The sequence below is a fragment of the Homo sapiens genome, chromosome 4 (assembly GCF_000001405.40).
Source record: "Homo sapiens chromosome 4, GRCh38.p14 Primary Assembly".
NCBI lineage: Eukaryota > Metazoa > Chordata > Mammalia > Primates > Hominidae > Homo > Homo sapiens.
Window position 1 is genome coordinate 139,886,814 of NC_000004.12, and position 16,224 is coordinate 139,903,037.

Sequence of the window (16,224 nt, forward strand, 5' to 3'; positions counted from 1 at the left end):
TTGTTTCTATTTTTGTTTCCCTGTTTTTTGAAATATACAGGAAGTAAGCGCATTCCTATTCATTTCTGAGATGGCATTTTATACAAATGTTCCAAATAAGTAAACATCTGTAAAAGACAATTTTCTTGAAATAAACGTGCCTAAAAGGCTTTGCTGCTGAAGTCATTCATTAAAACGAAATGTTGATCATGGTCATTGTGATCAACAAAGAATAAAGTGAGTTTTCACTAGCAATAGCAGAAAACGAAACTGAACTAAACCTATGTATAATTATATTTTATATCGTACCTGTAATTCGTGCTCGTATTTGTGGAATGTACCCGCATATAATGTAATGAACTATTCTGAGAACTATGTAAATACTGCTTCACAATCAGATAAAAACAAGAAATAAATGATATGTTTGCAGAAAGACATTCACATGTTTATATATGTATTTTGAAGCTCGTTTCAAACAGTGGTGAGTTAATATTTCATTAAAAAGCACGCTTTTACCTGATGAGATTTTGTGAGGTTAAGAAGTGATTATTCTAATGAGGACTCACAAAAGAACATTCTGTCCACACTGAAAATACTTCGTGAGACGAGAGAAGAGAGGAGGAGCACACAGATTTAATCCAGAAAAACATCACTTTGCTTCTTCAGCTGACTGAGCTCTTTCAAAACATGACCTCTGCAGCTACCAGCTTCAGTGACACATAGTTAGGCAGGCATAAGGACCTCAAAGAAGTACCCTTAAAACTCATGTTCCCGCAAAGACAGGAACTTGTCCCAAGTTGGCACATTTTGAAAGACATTTAGTGGGGGTGAGGATAGGTGCATCATTGCACTCACATGTCTGCAGAGCCTGTGAACTGGAATTAATTATTCATCTTTGGTCTGGCTTGAAGGAAATACTCTACTGTAGCTAGTGTAAGAACAGCGAATGTAGAAGCACAATTTGTATTAACAACAGACCATTCTGACAGCTTGTGATCTCATAAACCTTCTGACACGCCTGGGCTACTACAAACATTCATGTATATTGCCTATATTTCTGCCTGCTTCAGAACTTAATCTGGAGTATATAAAATGCTGTTATCTCCCCAATGGTATATATTCTTAATGAAACTAAGATAATATATAGAAGTTCACATTTCAATGATATTTTTCTAGTAGCTACTGATTGCAGTCAATGTAAACCAAGTTATACTTTTATTTATCCAGACGGAATCTTTAGAGCCGGCTGGCATGTGCAGACAAGAAGCCACTGTGAGGTTTGGGGGTTGTAAGGCTGAGGACAAGAATGAAGCCACAGAGCTCAGGCCTGTCTCTGCAGGCCAGCACCACCTCCAGCCCTGCAGCTCCATCAAGCTTGGGGTTTCGGGGGTGGGGTGGGGCACTCCAGGAGCTACAAGATGCAAATAACCAAGTGAGGCAAGATCTGCCTGCGTTATTTCCCAGTGCTTCTAAAGTACTCAACTGTGGACACCTACCCAAGCACTAGTTAGAACCTGTTTAGACATGAGGGCCTCTAAAGCAAAGACTTTTCTGCAAATTCTCCAAGTAAAATGACCATGTCTGCATCCTGGAAGAATTGAGGCACAGCACAGCAACTGGCAGTAAGATGATCTCTCTTGAATTCATCCATGTAGGGCAGGGGGAGTCGCTTTAATGGGCATTTCCCCACTCTCTCCTTCAGGGTAGAACAAATGTTATATTAAAGGAGCTTTGGCTGTTTGCCACTGGTCAGGATGAAGAGACTGAAAAGCTTGTCAATGACTATTCACTTCCCGACTGGTTGCTGCTCATTTTTTACCATGCATACCAAGAGCCCAACCTCCCATGAAGGAGGACAGTGGGAAAGTAGAGACTTTAATACAGCACTAAGATATATTCACCATCACATTTTCCTGAAATAGAGCTGATTGTATCAGAGAGGTTTCATTGCACTCCCAAGTAAGAAGACTGAACCAGCTTCTAACTGTTGCTAGTCTAGCAGCAAGTGTTTAAACATTATAAGGTCCTACAAAAATCTACCCTCCACTTCACTTTGAAAATCCAGAAAGCTCTCCTATATTTGAATATCAACAAGCCAAATTTCCCATTATTCATAATTCAGTAGGACAGCTGAAGGCTGCTCAGGGCCTTATAAAACTGTTGTAGACAGCCCTGAATGTCCCCTGCTTCCCACCACCCAGAGCCTGGGATCATGCAAGCTGGGAGAGAAGCTACAGAGGTAGTGCCGTGTTTGGTGGAGTGACCTCTGCAGCCTCCCTCCCTCAGAGTGAGAATTTTATGTAATTCTTATCTGCAGTTGGGAATAAAAGAAGTTTGATTCCTAGACACTGAAATACACGAAAGTTTATCATGCCACCCTTTTCCATTTCTTAGGAGAAATGGAAAAAGAACACTCCAAACCTGGCCACTACCTGAGGATGTGTAAAGAGGTTTTCTGCAGGCAATTAGACCCCACTACAGTGGAAGCTTGTAGAACATCACACATCGACAGTCTGAAATGCACCACAAGAACTGCTCGAAGAGTGTGTCACTTTCACACTTACCTGACCGTGGGATGGAAGTGCAGCGTAAGCCATGGGCTGATTCATCACTCCTTTCTGCTTCATGAGAAGCAGGCGTTTCTGGTCTTCGCTCAGGTGTGCCCTGGGGGCCTGGAGCTGTGGAGGTGGCGGCTGCTGCTGCTGCTGCTGCTGCTGTTGCTGTTGCTGCTGCTGTTGCTGCTGCTGGATATACGGCATCAAGGGGTTTTTGTTGGGGTTGGCCACTGGTGGTGTCATCCTCTGACTCAGGTCTGCATTGAAGTGGGTCAGGGGTTTAGTGTTGCCATAAGTCAGAATATTGTGCTGTTTGTTTAAGGAGTTTGTACCCAAGTTATTTGGCTGCTGATTGATCATATTCATGTGATTCTGAGGGAGGTAGTTATTCATTGTTGTCTTCTGCAGGTTGTTTGCCATTGGAGGCACTATAGGGTTTTGGTTGTTAAAGGCTTGGGGGTACATCATTGGGCTATTTGGTTTTTCTGCAGTAAAAGCTGCTCCATATGGACTAGAGGGAGGTCCTAAGGGAGACCAATTTGAAGTCTGATTTGAGTGCTGTTGCTGCTGCTGCTGCTGCTGCTGCTGCTGCTGCTGCTGCTGCTGCTGCTGCTGCTGCTGTTGCTGTTGCTGTTTCTGCTGCATGAGTTTGGCCCTTTGTTGCTGCTGTGCAGCCATCTGTTTGAGCTGTTCTGCTGGAGACATGTCAGAGCTGGGCACAGCCACAGGCCCTGACGCTGAACCGGCCACTGTCACTGCTGCCGGATTCAGGAGATAACCATTTCCAGGCCGAGGTGGAGCTTGGCCTGGAGTGTGGGCTTGGTTTGGAGTTTGAGGGGACTGGACAGCACAGTTTGCTGGTGAGCTTGCAGGGTTTGGAGCTGCGGGAGTGCTGGCAACAGAAGGTAAACTAGTGGCCGTGGAGACAGTAGAAAAGGGAGGACCAGAAGAAGAAGGCCTCGCCTGGGGAGATCCCATGGAGACATGTGCGAAGGGAGAGTGAGAGGGGTCGCTCTTCACGCTCGCACTCTCCTGGGAGAGAGGGGTCTCAGTTGCTGGCTGCGAGAATTCTGGCTCCTTCTTCTCTTCAAAGTCTTCGTTGAACAGGTCCTGTATGTCATCCTCAGGAACCGTGTTGGCCAATTCATCTATTAATTCTTGCCACTCCTGATCATTCAGATTAATGTCTGAGAACAGCTTGTTCTGATTTGAAAGAGATGTTTCTGATGTGTCTATGCAAGTAGGGTCATCGAGAGGTTCTTGTTTGAGGTCTTTGCTCTGCAAGATGGTGAAGCTATCCTCCAGGTCACTGCAACCGTTGACAGGAAGTTTAATCTCAGGGAGCCTACCATTCTTACTTAGATCTTCTAGAAGCCCAGGAGTGTGAGTTCCACTGTTCTGCAAGGGCAAAGAAGGTTTCAGGTCAAGTTGGTGAAGAGGAGAAGCTGAAGGCAGTGGCATGTTACTGGGCAAATTGTTGATGGCTTCCATCCCCGCAGAAATGTCCTTTCGAATTCGTTTGCTAGTCGGAGAAAAATTCCCATCACAAGCACCATTCTGCTGGTCTCCATTAAGTGGTGATCGAGCTCCTTCCAACTTCCTTTTCACAGTCTCTTGTAGCTGGAAAAGAAACAGGAAAGAGGATGACTAAACCTCCAAGTCATATTTTACTCTTTAAGGATTGAGATGTGCATTGCGATGAACTAACTTTTAAGTGGTTTACGACACACAGGAAAGAAGTCATACTTATAATTTCAAAATCAGGCAACGCTGCAATTCAAATTGTATGGGAAAAGGTTTTATCTAAAAGCAGAGCTCACAGGGCTAAGAGATAGAAAACAAACAAAAGATTGAAGGGTGGGAAACAAAAGAAAAGAGATAGTTAATAAGGGCAATACTCTCAGCAAGGAAGAATAATCTGTTATTATTTTCTTTCTTTTTTTGTTTTTGAGATGGAGTCTTGCTCTGTTGCCCAGGCTGGAGTGCAGTGGTGCTATCTTGGTTCACTGAGACCTTCACCTCCCAGGTTCAAGCGATTCTGCTGCCTCAGCCTCCAGAGTAGCTAGGATACAGGCACGCGTCACCATGCCTGGCTAATTTTTGTATTTTTTGTAGAGATGGGGTTTCACCCTGTTGGCTAGGCTGATCTGGAACTCCTGGCCTCAAGTGATCAGCCTGCCTCAGCCTTCCTAAGTGCTGGGATTACAAGTGTGAGCCACCATGAATGCTAGACATGAGACTTGGACCAAAATGTAACATACTTGAAAACGATGTTAATACCTATCCCAAATTCTTGCCACAACTTAAATGAGAACATCAAGGAATTAAATCAACATTTAAAAAAAATGCTAAAATAAAAACTTCTAAGAATATGGAATTTAACACATGTACTAAATAGCATAGAATTGAAAGTTAATGTTTAATGCAATCCCAAACTTACTTTAAGTTCTTATGTGACCTCACCTTTCAGAACCTTTTGATAGGCTCACTCTTTTCTAAAAGCACGTTTCCACCGGTTTCCACAACATCACACTCTTCTCAATTTCCTCCTTTCTCCCTTTACCAGCTCTTTCTCAATCTCTTATGTAGTCTTTCTTTTTCCTAAACGATGGGATTCTTCAATGTTTTGTCTTAAGCTTTTTTTCTCCTTCTGCTCACTCTACATTCTTTCTTAGACAACTTCATCGATTACAACAGCTTCAACTATCTTCTCTAGGCTGACGGCCCCAAAAGATGCTCATCTTCCCAGGCTCACAAAACTGGGCTGGGTACATTGTTTTGGGGTCGTCAGCCTAGAGAAGATAGTTGAAGCAGGCTCATTGGATTAGTGCTCAGCTCCACTAAATCCAATGTTCTCCTGCTGGATATTTCATGGACATCTAAAACTCAACATGTCTCAACACTGAGCTTATTATCCTTTGTTACCCAAACCAGATCCTCATCACTGTTCCCCATCTCAGTATCTATCCATTTATTCAAGTCAGATACTTGAGCATTTTTCTTGAAACCTCCCACGTCAGCAATCACCAAGTCCTATGGATTCCACCTCCAAAATATAACTAATATGCCCCCTCATCTCCTTCCTCCCTTACTGTTACTGTCCTTGGCCAGGATACCATTATCTCTTACTAGATTGTTGCAGCCATCTTCTAACTCGTCTTTTACGCTTTGCCTCCATTCATTTGCTCTTTAGTCTATTTTTTTATTTACTGTTTTGTGTTCCCTGAATCTACTCCTTATAATGCCACATTTTCCAAAAAAAAAAAAAAAAAATAGACTGCCTTTCTTGTGTATAACTCTGCAATGATTTCCACTGTCTTTAGGTTAAAGTCCAAATCGGGGCCGGGAGCGGTGGCTCACGCGGTCAGGAGATTGAGACCACCCTGGCAAACACGGTGAAACCCCATCTGTGCTTAAAAAAAAAATTCAAAAAATTAGCCGGGCGTGGTGGCGGGCGCCTTTAGTCCCAGCTACTTGAGAGGCTGAGGCAGGAGAATGGCATGAACCCGGGAGGTGGAGCTTGCAGTGAGCCGAGATCGTGCCACTGCACTCCAGCCTGGGTGATAGAGCGAGACTCCGTCTCAAAAAAAAAAAAAAAAAAAAGTCCAAACTGACTCTTGCCAAAAACCACCTGGCTCCTGCTCATCTTTCCAGGCTCACCTTTTTGCCTCTCTATTCAGCATCTCCTCCCCTCTTCTCCCTTACCCTACATTTTCCATAAACTCTCTTGAGACTTATAGTTCCTTAAAGGTGCTGATACTCCGGTTTCTCTTCAGAGCCTAGAATTCTTTCACCTTTACGGTGCTAAGCTTCCTTCTGCCTCTAGGGCATTGTCCATGTTGTTTTGTTTTCTTGGAACGTCCTCCTGCTCCCTCTCCTCTTCCCCTGGGTAATAGCTGCTTATTTTTCAGGTTAGATCTTAGATTTCACTTACTCTAGGAAATCTTCTCTTATACTCTTCTCCACCCTAGTTATATGTTAGGTGCCTTCCTTGACCAACTATACTAGGTTGGATGTCCTGAAATAGGTCTTTCCAAGCAGTCTGTACTTCACTACCATAGCTTTTTCACACTTTGGGGCAGCTGCTTAAGTGTCTGTTTGGTGAGTTCCAAGAAGGTAGGAACCGTGGCTGACGTGCTTACTGTGTAAGCACCACAGGCCTGCACCCAGTCCTCAGGTTCATGGCAGGGGTTAATAAACAATTGCAAATGGAATGAATCATTCTATTGTCTAATTCACAGGGCTAAGAGAAGAGTTTGAATCTGAGCAGGAGGCAGCCCCATTGACCATAAGGAATGCCTGATTCCAGCCTCTACATTCCTGGTTTTGGGAGTGATAGATCTCTTACCCTAAAGAGTGTTATCCACTTAACTGGACTCATTTTAAAAGTCCAGTTATGAAGTCTTGCTAACTCTATGGATTTATCAATTATAAACCTAACTCATCTGTGTGCTGCTTTCCTTTCTGTCAGAAAGGGCCAGTGCATGTGGCCGTGGTGAAAGAGCTTGGCATAGAATAGCTACTGGGGAGATGCTTGCTGAGTGACAGAGGGGCAACTGGGAGGGGTTAGAAGGGTTTCAGTGACTTTACATAGTTGCAGGCAGAAGACAGAATGACAGGGTAGGAGAGAAAAGGCTTAGTGGTCTTTCCACTCGGGTACTCTCTTATTCTTGGCAAGGTGCCGTGTATTACAGAACCAATGCAAGAGAGGGGGAGGATTCCCTCTGCCCCTGACACCTGAACACTCACATGTGAAACTGCCAGGCCTCTAGAGGAGCACCATGGATAATAAAACTAATGTGCAGATGCGGTAAAGTTCACAAAGTGTCATTTTACTGCTAGGTGCTTTTTCATAAGTAGATGATTATATTTGAAAAGTATGGCCAGGCACAGTAGCTCACGCCTGTAATCCCAGCACTTTGGGAGGCTGAGGTGGGCAGATCGCGAGGTCAAGAGATTGAGACCATCCTGGCCAACACGGTGAAACCCCGTCTCTACTAAAAATACAAAATTTTGCTGGGGTGGTGGCACACACCTGTATAGTCCCAGCTACTCAGGAGACTGAGGCAGGAGAATCACTTGAACCTGGGAGGCAGGGGCTACAGTGAGCTGAGATCGTGCCACTGCACTCTAGCCTGCTGACAGAGCAAGACTCCATCTTAAAAAAGAAAGAAAGAAAGAAAGAAAGAAAGAAAGAAAGAAAGAAAGAAAGAAAGAAAAGTAAACAGAGTAGAAAGGGCCCTTGAGTAAAAGTCCAGTCTAACCCTTGTTCCTAAATCTTATATTTTTACAACATCAAACACAGCCCATAGTCATTTGATAGAGACCCTCGAACTGCTGAACACAAGGCCCTAACGGGAACATGTTAGAATTTGACGGAAAAAAAAATACTGGCTCAACTCATTGTATTACACAGAAACTGCTAGAAAATGATATTATTTATTGGACAAGGCAAGATACCATGGTTTTGATCAGAAGTATGGAAGATACTTGAACATAGCTCCAAACATAGCAGCAAGATCAAATATCACAGCTTTAGGACTTAAAGGAAATGAAGGTTAGGGCTTTTGGCACCTCCTGGAGTGATGTTAACCTTCAAAACATAAGCATTTGTCTTAACAATGAACTGACTCGATTTTAGAAAGTCCAAGTCCATGACTCTGTTCCAGGTCATGCAATGAATGGAGCAGGACAGAGAAGGAAACGAAGCTGGTCCATTTGTTTCTCTGTAAAATGGTGGTGGCCAAGACCATACAGTCAGGCAGTTCTGGCTGGAAACCCAAGTTTCACCTCTTACGGCTGAGTGAGCAGCTGGGTGAGGCAGTACAGTGAGAATTAGAGAAACAGGAGCACTGGCTCTGGAGTTAGAAAGCTTGAGTTCAAATCCAACATCACCTACCTAGGAGCTAATACATATCAATATTGTCTGGTTCTTAAGAAATGTTGGCTATGATACCTTCCATTAGAATATAAGTTACATGAAGGCAGGGGTTCTTCCATTTTGTTTCCAGTAGCTCAGAATAGACAATAAATACATGTTGAATAAATGAATCCTGGAAAACTTATTTAACCTCTCCTAAGCCTTGGTTTCCTTACCTGCAAAGTGGGTCAATAATATCTAGCTCACAGAGTTACCGTGAGTCTGAGGTTAAATGAAATAATGTAGGGAGCACTTAGCCTCACACCTGATACCAGTAAACACCCACTAAGTCTTAGCTTTACCATTTTCAAAATTCAGTGATACAAATAGTTACAACTGCAACTGAGAAGGAATGCTTACTGGATCTTCAAAACACAAATAGGTAGGGTATTTCTGTTCTCTAGCCAGCAAAACCCTAATGTTTTCTAAGCATCTGATGTAGCTTTTTTAATATGAACAACAAAAATCAAATTTGCAATTCAAGTCCAAGTGCTAATGCATTCATGTCCTAGATTGTAGAACAGCAGAGGCTAGATCGTTGAGGTTCGAATCAAATACATTTTCAGCATGCCACCTGATTGGAGCCTCCGAGTGTTCCCTTTCCTCCAGGGCCTAAAGTTCTCCACTGCATGCCCCTTTAACCCAAATCTTGATTTATATATTTCATGTATCTGCATTTTGGAATATAAGAAAGACATTATCGAAGATGCTGTGCTATAATTTTTATGTTTTGTTTTGTTATGTCCAAAATAGCAGAGCAATCTTAGCATCCCTTCTGTCTGCCTCATCATCCTTTGCTATATGGAAAGGTGGTCTGGGAGTCTAATTCTCTTTATGTTCCTCATGGGAGACAGAGGGAGGCGGAGAGGGAGACACAGAGCCAGCTATGTGGCTGAGAAGGCTGATTCACAAGCTCCCTGCTCAGAGAACATGGGAATGCCTGGCTGCGCACAGGGAAATGTCCCTGTGACTTTCCTCTCCTCAAGACTCAGGGCAGAGTCTCATCCCAAATAGCCTTATCTTAGGAAGTCCCTGGCCCTTCTGCCTCGCAAAGCCCGAAGCCTCTTAGTATGACTGCACCCTCGTGGAAGAATCACAGAAACTCTTTCCTGAGCATCAGCCTCCTTGCTCTTGTATTACTATTATTACATATAAATGTTTTCTCCCATTAGGTGAAGCTGTGGTGCCAGGAGCTGAAGTATGCTGTTCATCCAATGCCTATGACAATATGGGCTGCTATCATGTGTCAATTACTCTGAAGGAAACAATTCATCTTCCATAATGGCTCCAGCGCAAGTCCCTCATTTAGTGTGGCTTGATGGCTTGTTTCTGTGAAACTGGTGTGTGTGTGTGTGTGTGTGTGTGGTATGTGGTGTGTGTGTGTGAGAGAGAGAGAGAAAGACAGACAGTGAAACTGAGAGGCAGAGAGAGACAGAATGGGGAGTGGGAGGGTTGTGCATTATGTCCAAACCAGTAGTAATAAGAATAGCTGTGCCTTTGGAATTACAAAGAACTTTCACACAGAATCATATTTTATCCTCACCACAAACCTGTGGGGAAGGCTATGTGCTGGCTGGATGGTTCTACAGGGAAAGGGGCAGTGTTTTGGAGAGGGTGTGGTGGGCGAGGGTGCATGACACCCACAGCAAGGAGGAGCATGGCTAAGATTACCAGGCCTCTGCTGACACGGGGGCCCCCAATCCTAGCAGATTCTTGAGGTGTTCCATGGGCCAGAGTGTCCATGACAAAGAGGTCTTTTATTCCATTAGACTTTTAGCAGTGCTGGCAAGTCAGATAAACTCTTACTGTCCTGTCCCTGATTTTGCACGAAGTTGGGCAGGATCACAGAGCTTGGGAATAAAGATAGTGATGCTACTATTAATAATGAAGATTCTAAGATGGAAGACATCCAATTTCTAATGTCCAACTCTAGTAAACCACCATATTCCTTCTCTCCTGCTCCCAATGATTCTAAAAGATAGGTTTTATTACAATCATCTTGCAGAGGCATCGTGGGTTAAGCAGTGTGTCTGAAATTACAGAACTCAGGGGGCTGGGCAGAAGATGGCTAAACCCAGATTCAAATTCAAACTCAGGTCTGACTCCTCCATAAGCCACACTGCACCCTCATCCAGGACTGGACGAAGCACAGTCATGCCCTCATCAAAGGCATGGGGTTCTGATGCCACCTGTGATATGCTTTCTCAGATTGTGCTTTCGGGGATCTTCCTTGGTTCCAGCATTTCCCCACCAACCATACCCAATTAAACCTCAAGAACTATCCATTCTATGAATTTTAGTCTCATCTTCCGCCCACAATGCCACTACCCCATTCAGAGTCTCAATATGTCTCTCATGAATTTCTGTAGCAGCTCCTGACCAGCCTCAGTCTCGCCACCTCCAACCCATTCTCTGCATCGTGGCTGTGGTTTTCTCCATACATTGTGAATCTGATCATGCCCGTTCTTCACTTTAAGCTTTTCTAAAGCTGTCCACCATCTTCAGCATCATTCAGGTCTGGCACACAGGCCTTCTGACTGGATCCTCATCCCAGCTAAACTCTCCAGGCTTAGCCATTACCTCTCATCTTCCCCGACTTACCCCGCAACCCCACTCAACTCCAAACTTTCAGCTATGCTTAATTATTTGCAGTTCCCAGGACATACCACATTTGTTTTCTCTCTTTCTGAGCCTTTGCATATTTTACACTTAACCAACTTCTTCACCTGACCAATTCTATGTGTCCTTTACAATTCAGTTTAGACATTACCTACTCCACAGTCTCTCTTGACAGCCATTTCCTACAACTCCTGATGTTGGTTAAGAGACCCTCCATGACATTCTAATTCATATCACACTATAACTATTTTCCTTCATGGATGAATGAATGAATGCTAAAAAGAGCTCTCAAATAACCACAATGAGTTAGTGTAATTGATCCCCAAAGCAGGCTCTTGAAAATGTTGGACTGCATAGTGTTCTCAGAATAAACGTATAATTTCTGTTGGTTAGTTTAAAATACTGAAAATGGACTATCTCCTTAATATTTTTGAGGACTCTAAGGGTCCAGGGAATCCCTGATGAGAACCACTAGAGAACATACGAAGTGATTTGTGGAAAAGAAAACTGAAACTGAAATCCAGAGACTTTAAGCGACATTACCATGGTCACATGTTTTCACATGAATGTAAACCCCAAACGCTGCTTATTTTCAGACTTGAATTTTAAATTTCCATACAAAGGCTTCAAGTGGTTCTCACCCACTATAGCAGCCTCTTCAACCAAAAGTGTGAGTGAGCTTCCTTCACCAGCTGGTAGAGACACAAGTCTTTCCCAAGGCTTGAAGATAAGAGAGTCTTAGCTTGCAGATGCTATAACTAGTTTAGAGGCTCAAAGAGAACATTTTGGTCATTTTGATCTGTTCTGGTCAAACTAGAAGATGATTCACTGGAATCAATTATCACATGCTTATTCTCTTTCCATTCTACCAGCAGGTAATAAGCCTATGAACACATGGATGAATTTGACCTGCTTATGTAATGAATGACCCAGAATACTCATGTGCTAGATATTTTAATGAGTAGAATAGGAAGAGTGCGCAAAACATTTCCAGAACTGTCTTCTAGATTTAAGTGCCCTTAGAAAGGATCTTGAGCGTTATTTAGAGGTTTGATTTTCTTTAGTAATTTTCCAACTTTAATGTAACTAGTGACCTGAGAACCTGTTAAAAATGCAGATTTCTTGATCCCACCTTCATAGTTTCTAATTAAGTAGCCCAGATTGGGACACAAGGTGGGGGCACAGGTATCTAAAGAAACTGAATAAAAACCTGATTCTTCCGGGGCTGTTGGCCTAGGATTCCCCAGGTTTTAGAAATTCTGATCTAGATTAATAATTCTGTTGGATTCTGACACTGTGAGGTTGGTGGTGTGATTTTTTTAAGTATGCATACACATACAAATCCAATGTCACTACAAAATGTTCCTGAGTTGATTGGTGATACTCTGGGGGCTCTCATAAACAGAACTAAGAAACAGTGCTCTAGATGGGGCTTTTTGAAACCTTAGAGGATTCTGAATTCTGCAGAAGCTTGCTGGATTTCTAGAATATTTTTCATAAAAATGTGTATTTTTAAAAACATTTTAGGTTTCTCTGAGCACAGTAATATCCCTGACCATTTCCCCCTCCACATTATATATTTCCCTTCACTTTCATTCAGTGAACTGAGGGGTGCTCTGTGTCTGCGTGTCGGGCTCTGCGCCAGGTGCCAAAGGCTCAACTCACTCCCCAGAGCAAAGTCTATGCCAAAAAGTGACCACATGCCACACATATGTTGAAAAAAGTTGGATACATTTGTTTTAGAGAGATCTATGTGCAGGGCAGACTAACAGGAAAAGAAAAAGAAAAATCTTATTACAACTCCCGAAGCCTCCCTTGGTAATCTTATAGACTCCTAACATTACTTAGACAGAAAACAACTTTACTCTCTATGAGTAAATGAATTTGAATTTTAAAATTATGTATATAATCTGTATATATCACATATAATATTGCCATAAGAGCCAAGTGTTTAAAACCTCTGCTTTCGACCATCCCAGAATGCGGCTTCCCTGTACCTGTTCAGTGGGAAATGCTGGATCTCTGGAGGGGGTGTCAGCCGTAAGCAGTTAAAAATCTCCATTCTGAAATCCTCCAGGAAGAAAAGGATCCTCTTTAAAGGGGCCTCACCCTCTTAGTGGGCATCTGAAATAATAGCTGCAGAGTCCCAAGGGACTACGGGGGCACCGCGGAGCCCCCAGCCCAGGGGACAGAACCACTCAAAACATTTTAAGGTACTTTGAGGTTATTTTTAGAAATGACCATGATCTTTTTTCTTTCTGCTATGGTTCACATTTAAAACTCTATTCCCAAAAAGTCTTGGAAGTACATAAGGCTGATGGTGCCTCTTTTCAATGTTTGGAACATGAGCACCCATCCAATTCCAGCTGTAAGTGCTAAAGCAACATCCTGATTTAATGACTCTTTAAAAATATTTTAAATCTTTTTTGGGGGTGTGGCTGAATCTTTAGGTATGTTTTTATCCTTTAATTATGCTTAAACATGTAATAAGTACCAACTGAATGCACAACAACATATTGGGAATGGATCGTAAAACATCAGGAGCAGTGGCAGCTGAAGTCCTCCACATTTAGAAACTCTAAGTTCCAAGATCCCCTCAAATCTCCAAATTTCCAAATACATAAATGTTTTTACAGGCTCCTGGCTTTCTCCCAGTGGAATGAATAAATTATATTTTCATCACAAGTCACAGGAATCCTGTGTAGTCTCTGTATCCGAAGTTATAAAGTTTTTCACAAACTCTATACGTGCAGTTTAAACTGGTGTTAACAAAATTATCAACTACTCATTAAAAGCAAGACTGTTATCTTTGCAAATGCTAAGGCCATATGATTTTCAAATCTCACGTAGTTTTCAGTAGAATGCTCTAAACTTCTAAGTTTTTATCACAGAAGTTGACTCACTGCTTACTAAATGTTTCAATATATTATTGTCATACAATATTCTAATTGACTGAGAGCTAACCAGCCAGGCATTGAGCTAAGTGCTTTACATATCTTACCTCGATTAACCCTCACAATAACTTAAAGGACAGGAATGGGTTCAGAGAGGACAGGTAGTTTGTCCTAGGGCACACAGCACAGCCCTACTCAGTTATGCCTGCCTCTCAAATCTATGCTCTCACCTACTCTGCTATTTTGCATCTGATGACTTCTGTCCCAATCAAACTGCAGCAAACCTGCTTAGAAATTCTGGGAAAGTGTTTTAGACACCTGTGTCATGACGCTCTAAAGGGGATGTGTTCATGTCTTTGAGTCAGATCTGGCTGATTCACAGAAAAGCCTTGTGCTTCCTCTACAAGGAAAGATGTCACTCTGCAAATTTAGCATGTGTTTGAGAAGTGATGATGGCTGCAGCCCTGAAAACTTCAGAAGAGAGCAAATGTGTGCATCCCAGCGGTAGCTTCCTTCACTCAGTAGCTTTCTGTAGGAAAAAGCTCCACTGAGACTGGTAGTTGCCATCAGCATTCCACAATCTGAACCCTGTACTGCTCTGTTGTTTCATATACATAAATACACACACATATAACATTACATTTATTTTTAAGGACAAGAAACAATATCCTTAGGAATATCTCCTGATAATCTCCCACTAGAAGTCATGAATACATTTTCTATTCAAACATGCTTGTATACATGACCTTGCCTTACAATCTGAAATTCCTAATGGGATTTTATTTAGAGCTGTAAAGAAATGCCGGTAAAGGAGGTTGGTGAGGAAGAAGGGAAGGCTTTCCTCCCCATAAGGGAGGAGGATGGCAAATGAAAAGATCAGATCTTATCTGCATCATTCACAGCTGGAGACTTACACCAACAACACAGACCAAAGAATAGGCATGTTAGAACTAAGCGTGAGGTTTCGATTTGTTTATTTTCTGGAAGGAGGGAGGCGGGAAGGAGCAATATTTCAGGGAGGCTGAGTATTTTTCTCTCCCTTGGGGAGGATTCAACAATCTTTTTATTTCATTGTTTACTTAAAATGTCCTTTCTTTTCAATAAGGAATTCTCATTTTTGTTTTCAGCCCTTCCAAAAGACTGTTTTCCTCAACAGCACTGAAGTCGTGCACCAGCCTAGCAGGATGCGAACAGCCAGGGTGCCCAGACCTGAGACTGCTTTTGAATAAAATCCCATCACATGTTTATCTCCCTTTGGAAAACAAAAGTATTGAAATAAGATCTCTTACTCGATAAAAAGCCTCGTGTTTCCCTCAAAGAGGCCAGACACTGCTCTTTCTTGTGAGATGCAGTTTGCATAAAGCAGTACTCCCAGGCAGCTAAGAGCTACCCTCCTGGAAGAGAATTTCCAGTTTCTCTCATTCTCTCCTTCTCTCCTTCCCCTGGACACACACGCAGGCGCGCACGCACACGCACACACACGCACACACACACGCACACACACACACACGTCTCAATGAGCGAGCAAACAGGACATAATTCTTATTTCTAGACAGCATCTGACTCCCAGGCCTCCATCCTCCATTTCACAACAGATTTTTACTCCAAACCTGAGGGGGCTTAGGGACTTGCCTTCATTGACCAATTACGGAACTGTCATTATTTGCATGTCTTTTGAGTAACTTTGTTAATAAACAGAAACCAAGGCAGGAGGAGAGAATTTTTCTCTCCGGGATGAATCCCCCATGGATGAAGAAGATACCCACAGACAGACAGGCACGTTCTCACATACAGGCAAACATGGAAGTCATTTGAGCCGCTCTGAAAATTTTCAGCCAGGCGGAGGTACACACCACACATTCAGCCCGTAAACAGCAGAGCTCTGGAGCCTGGCGGCAGAGCTTTCATCTGTGGGGCAAAGCGGCTCGGCTTCATCCCACCAGCTGAAATTCATTTTTCAAAAGAAATTAGACCAAGGTACTGTTGTTATAGCAACAGTCAGAGTCATTTACACAGCCTCTTCCGCACAACCTCACTGACTTCTGTGGGCAGCGATTTCAATTATGTACAGGGAGTGACCAAGGCTGAGCCCGGGTGGACCCTTTAGTGCCCCTTTAAGACGTGGCAGCCTAAAACCTCTGTGTCCAATCTGAAGCTAAAAGACAACAAGACTTCATCGTGATCCACAGACCTCTTCCAGTCCTGAAAGTCCAATGAGCAGTGAAGACAGGAAGAAAACCTTCCGATCCAATGTTTT

The 16,224-nt window shown here is 42.9% G+C and overlaps 1 protein-coding gene across 3 annotated transcripts in view, besides 1 other annotated feature; it reads right to left on the reverse strand.

The window, feature by feature from the left end:
- MAML3 (mastermind like transcriptional coactivator 3) overlaps window positions 1–16,224 on the reverse strand; it is a 437,432-nt gene that overhangs the window by 170,061 nt on the left and 251,147 nt on the right. For 2 of the 3 annotated variants that reach the window (XM_047415929.1, NM_018717.5), the window contains exon 2: window positions 2,544–4,154. In XM_047415929.1, the coding sequence (XP_047271885.1) occupies window positions 2,544–4,154 (1,611 nt within the window). Of the gene's footprint in view, window positions 1–1,171; window positions 1,676–2,543; window positions 4,155–16,224 lie in introns of those variants that run through there. The other variant, XM_047415930.1, reaches the window with a different exon arrangement.
- Window positions 1,234–1,373: an enhancer, noted in NCBI's record as "active region_21931". NCBI's record gives its function as "activates an Ori minimal core promoter by ATAC-STARR-seq in GM12878 lymphoblastoid cells {active_cell/tissue: GM12878}" and the evidence as "EXISTENCE:reporter gene assay evidence [ECO:0000049][PMID:35858748]".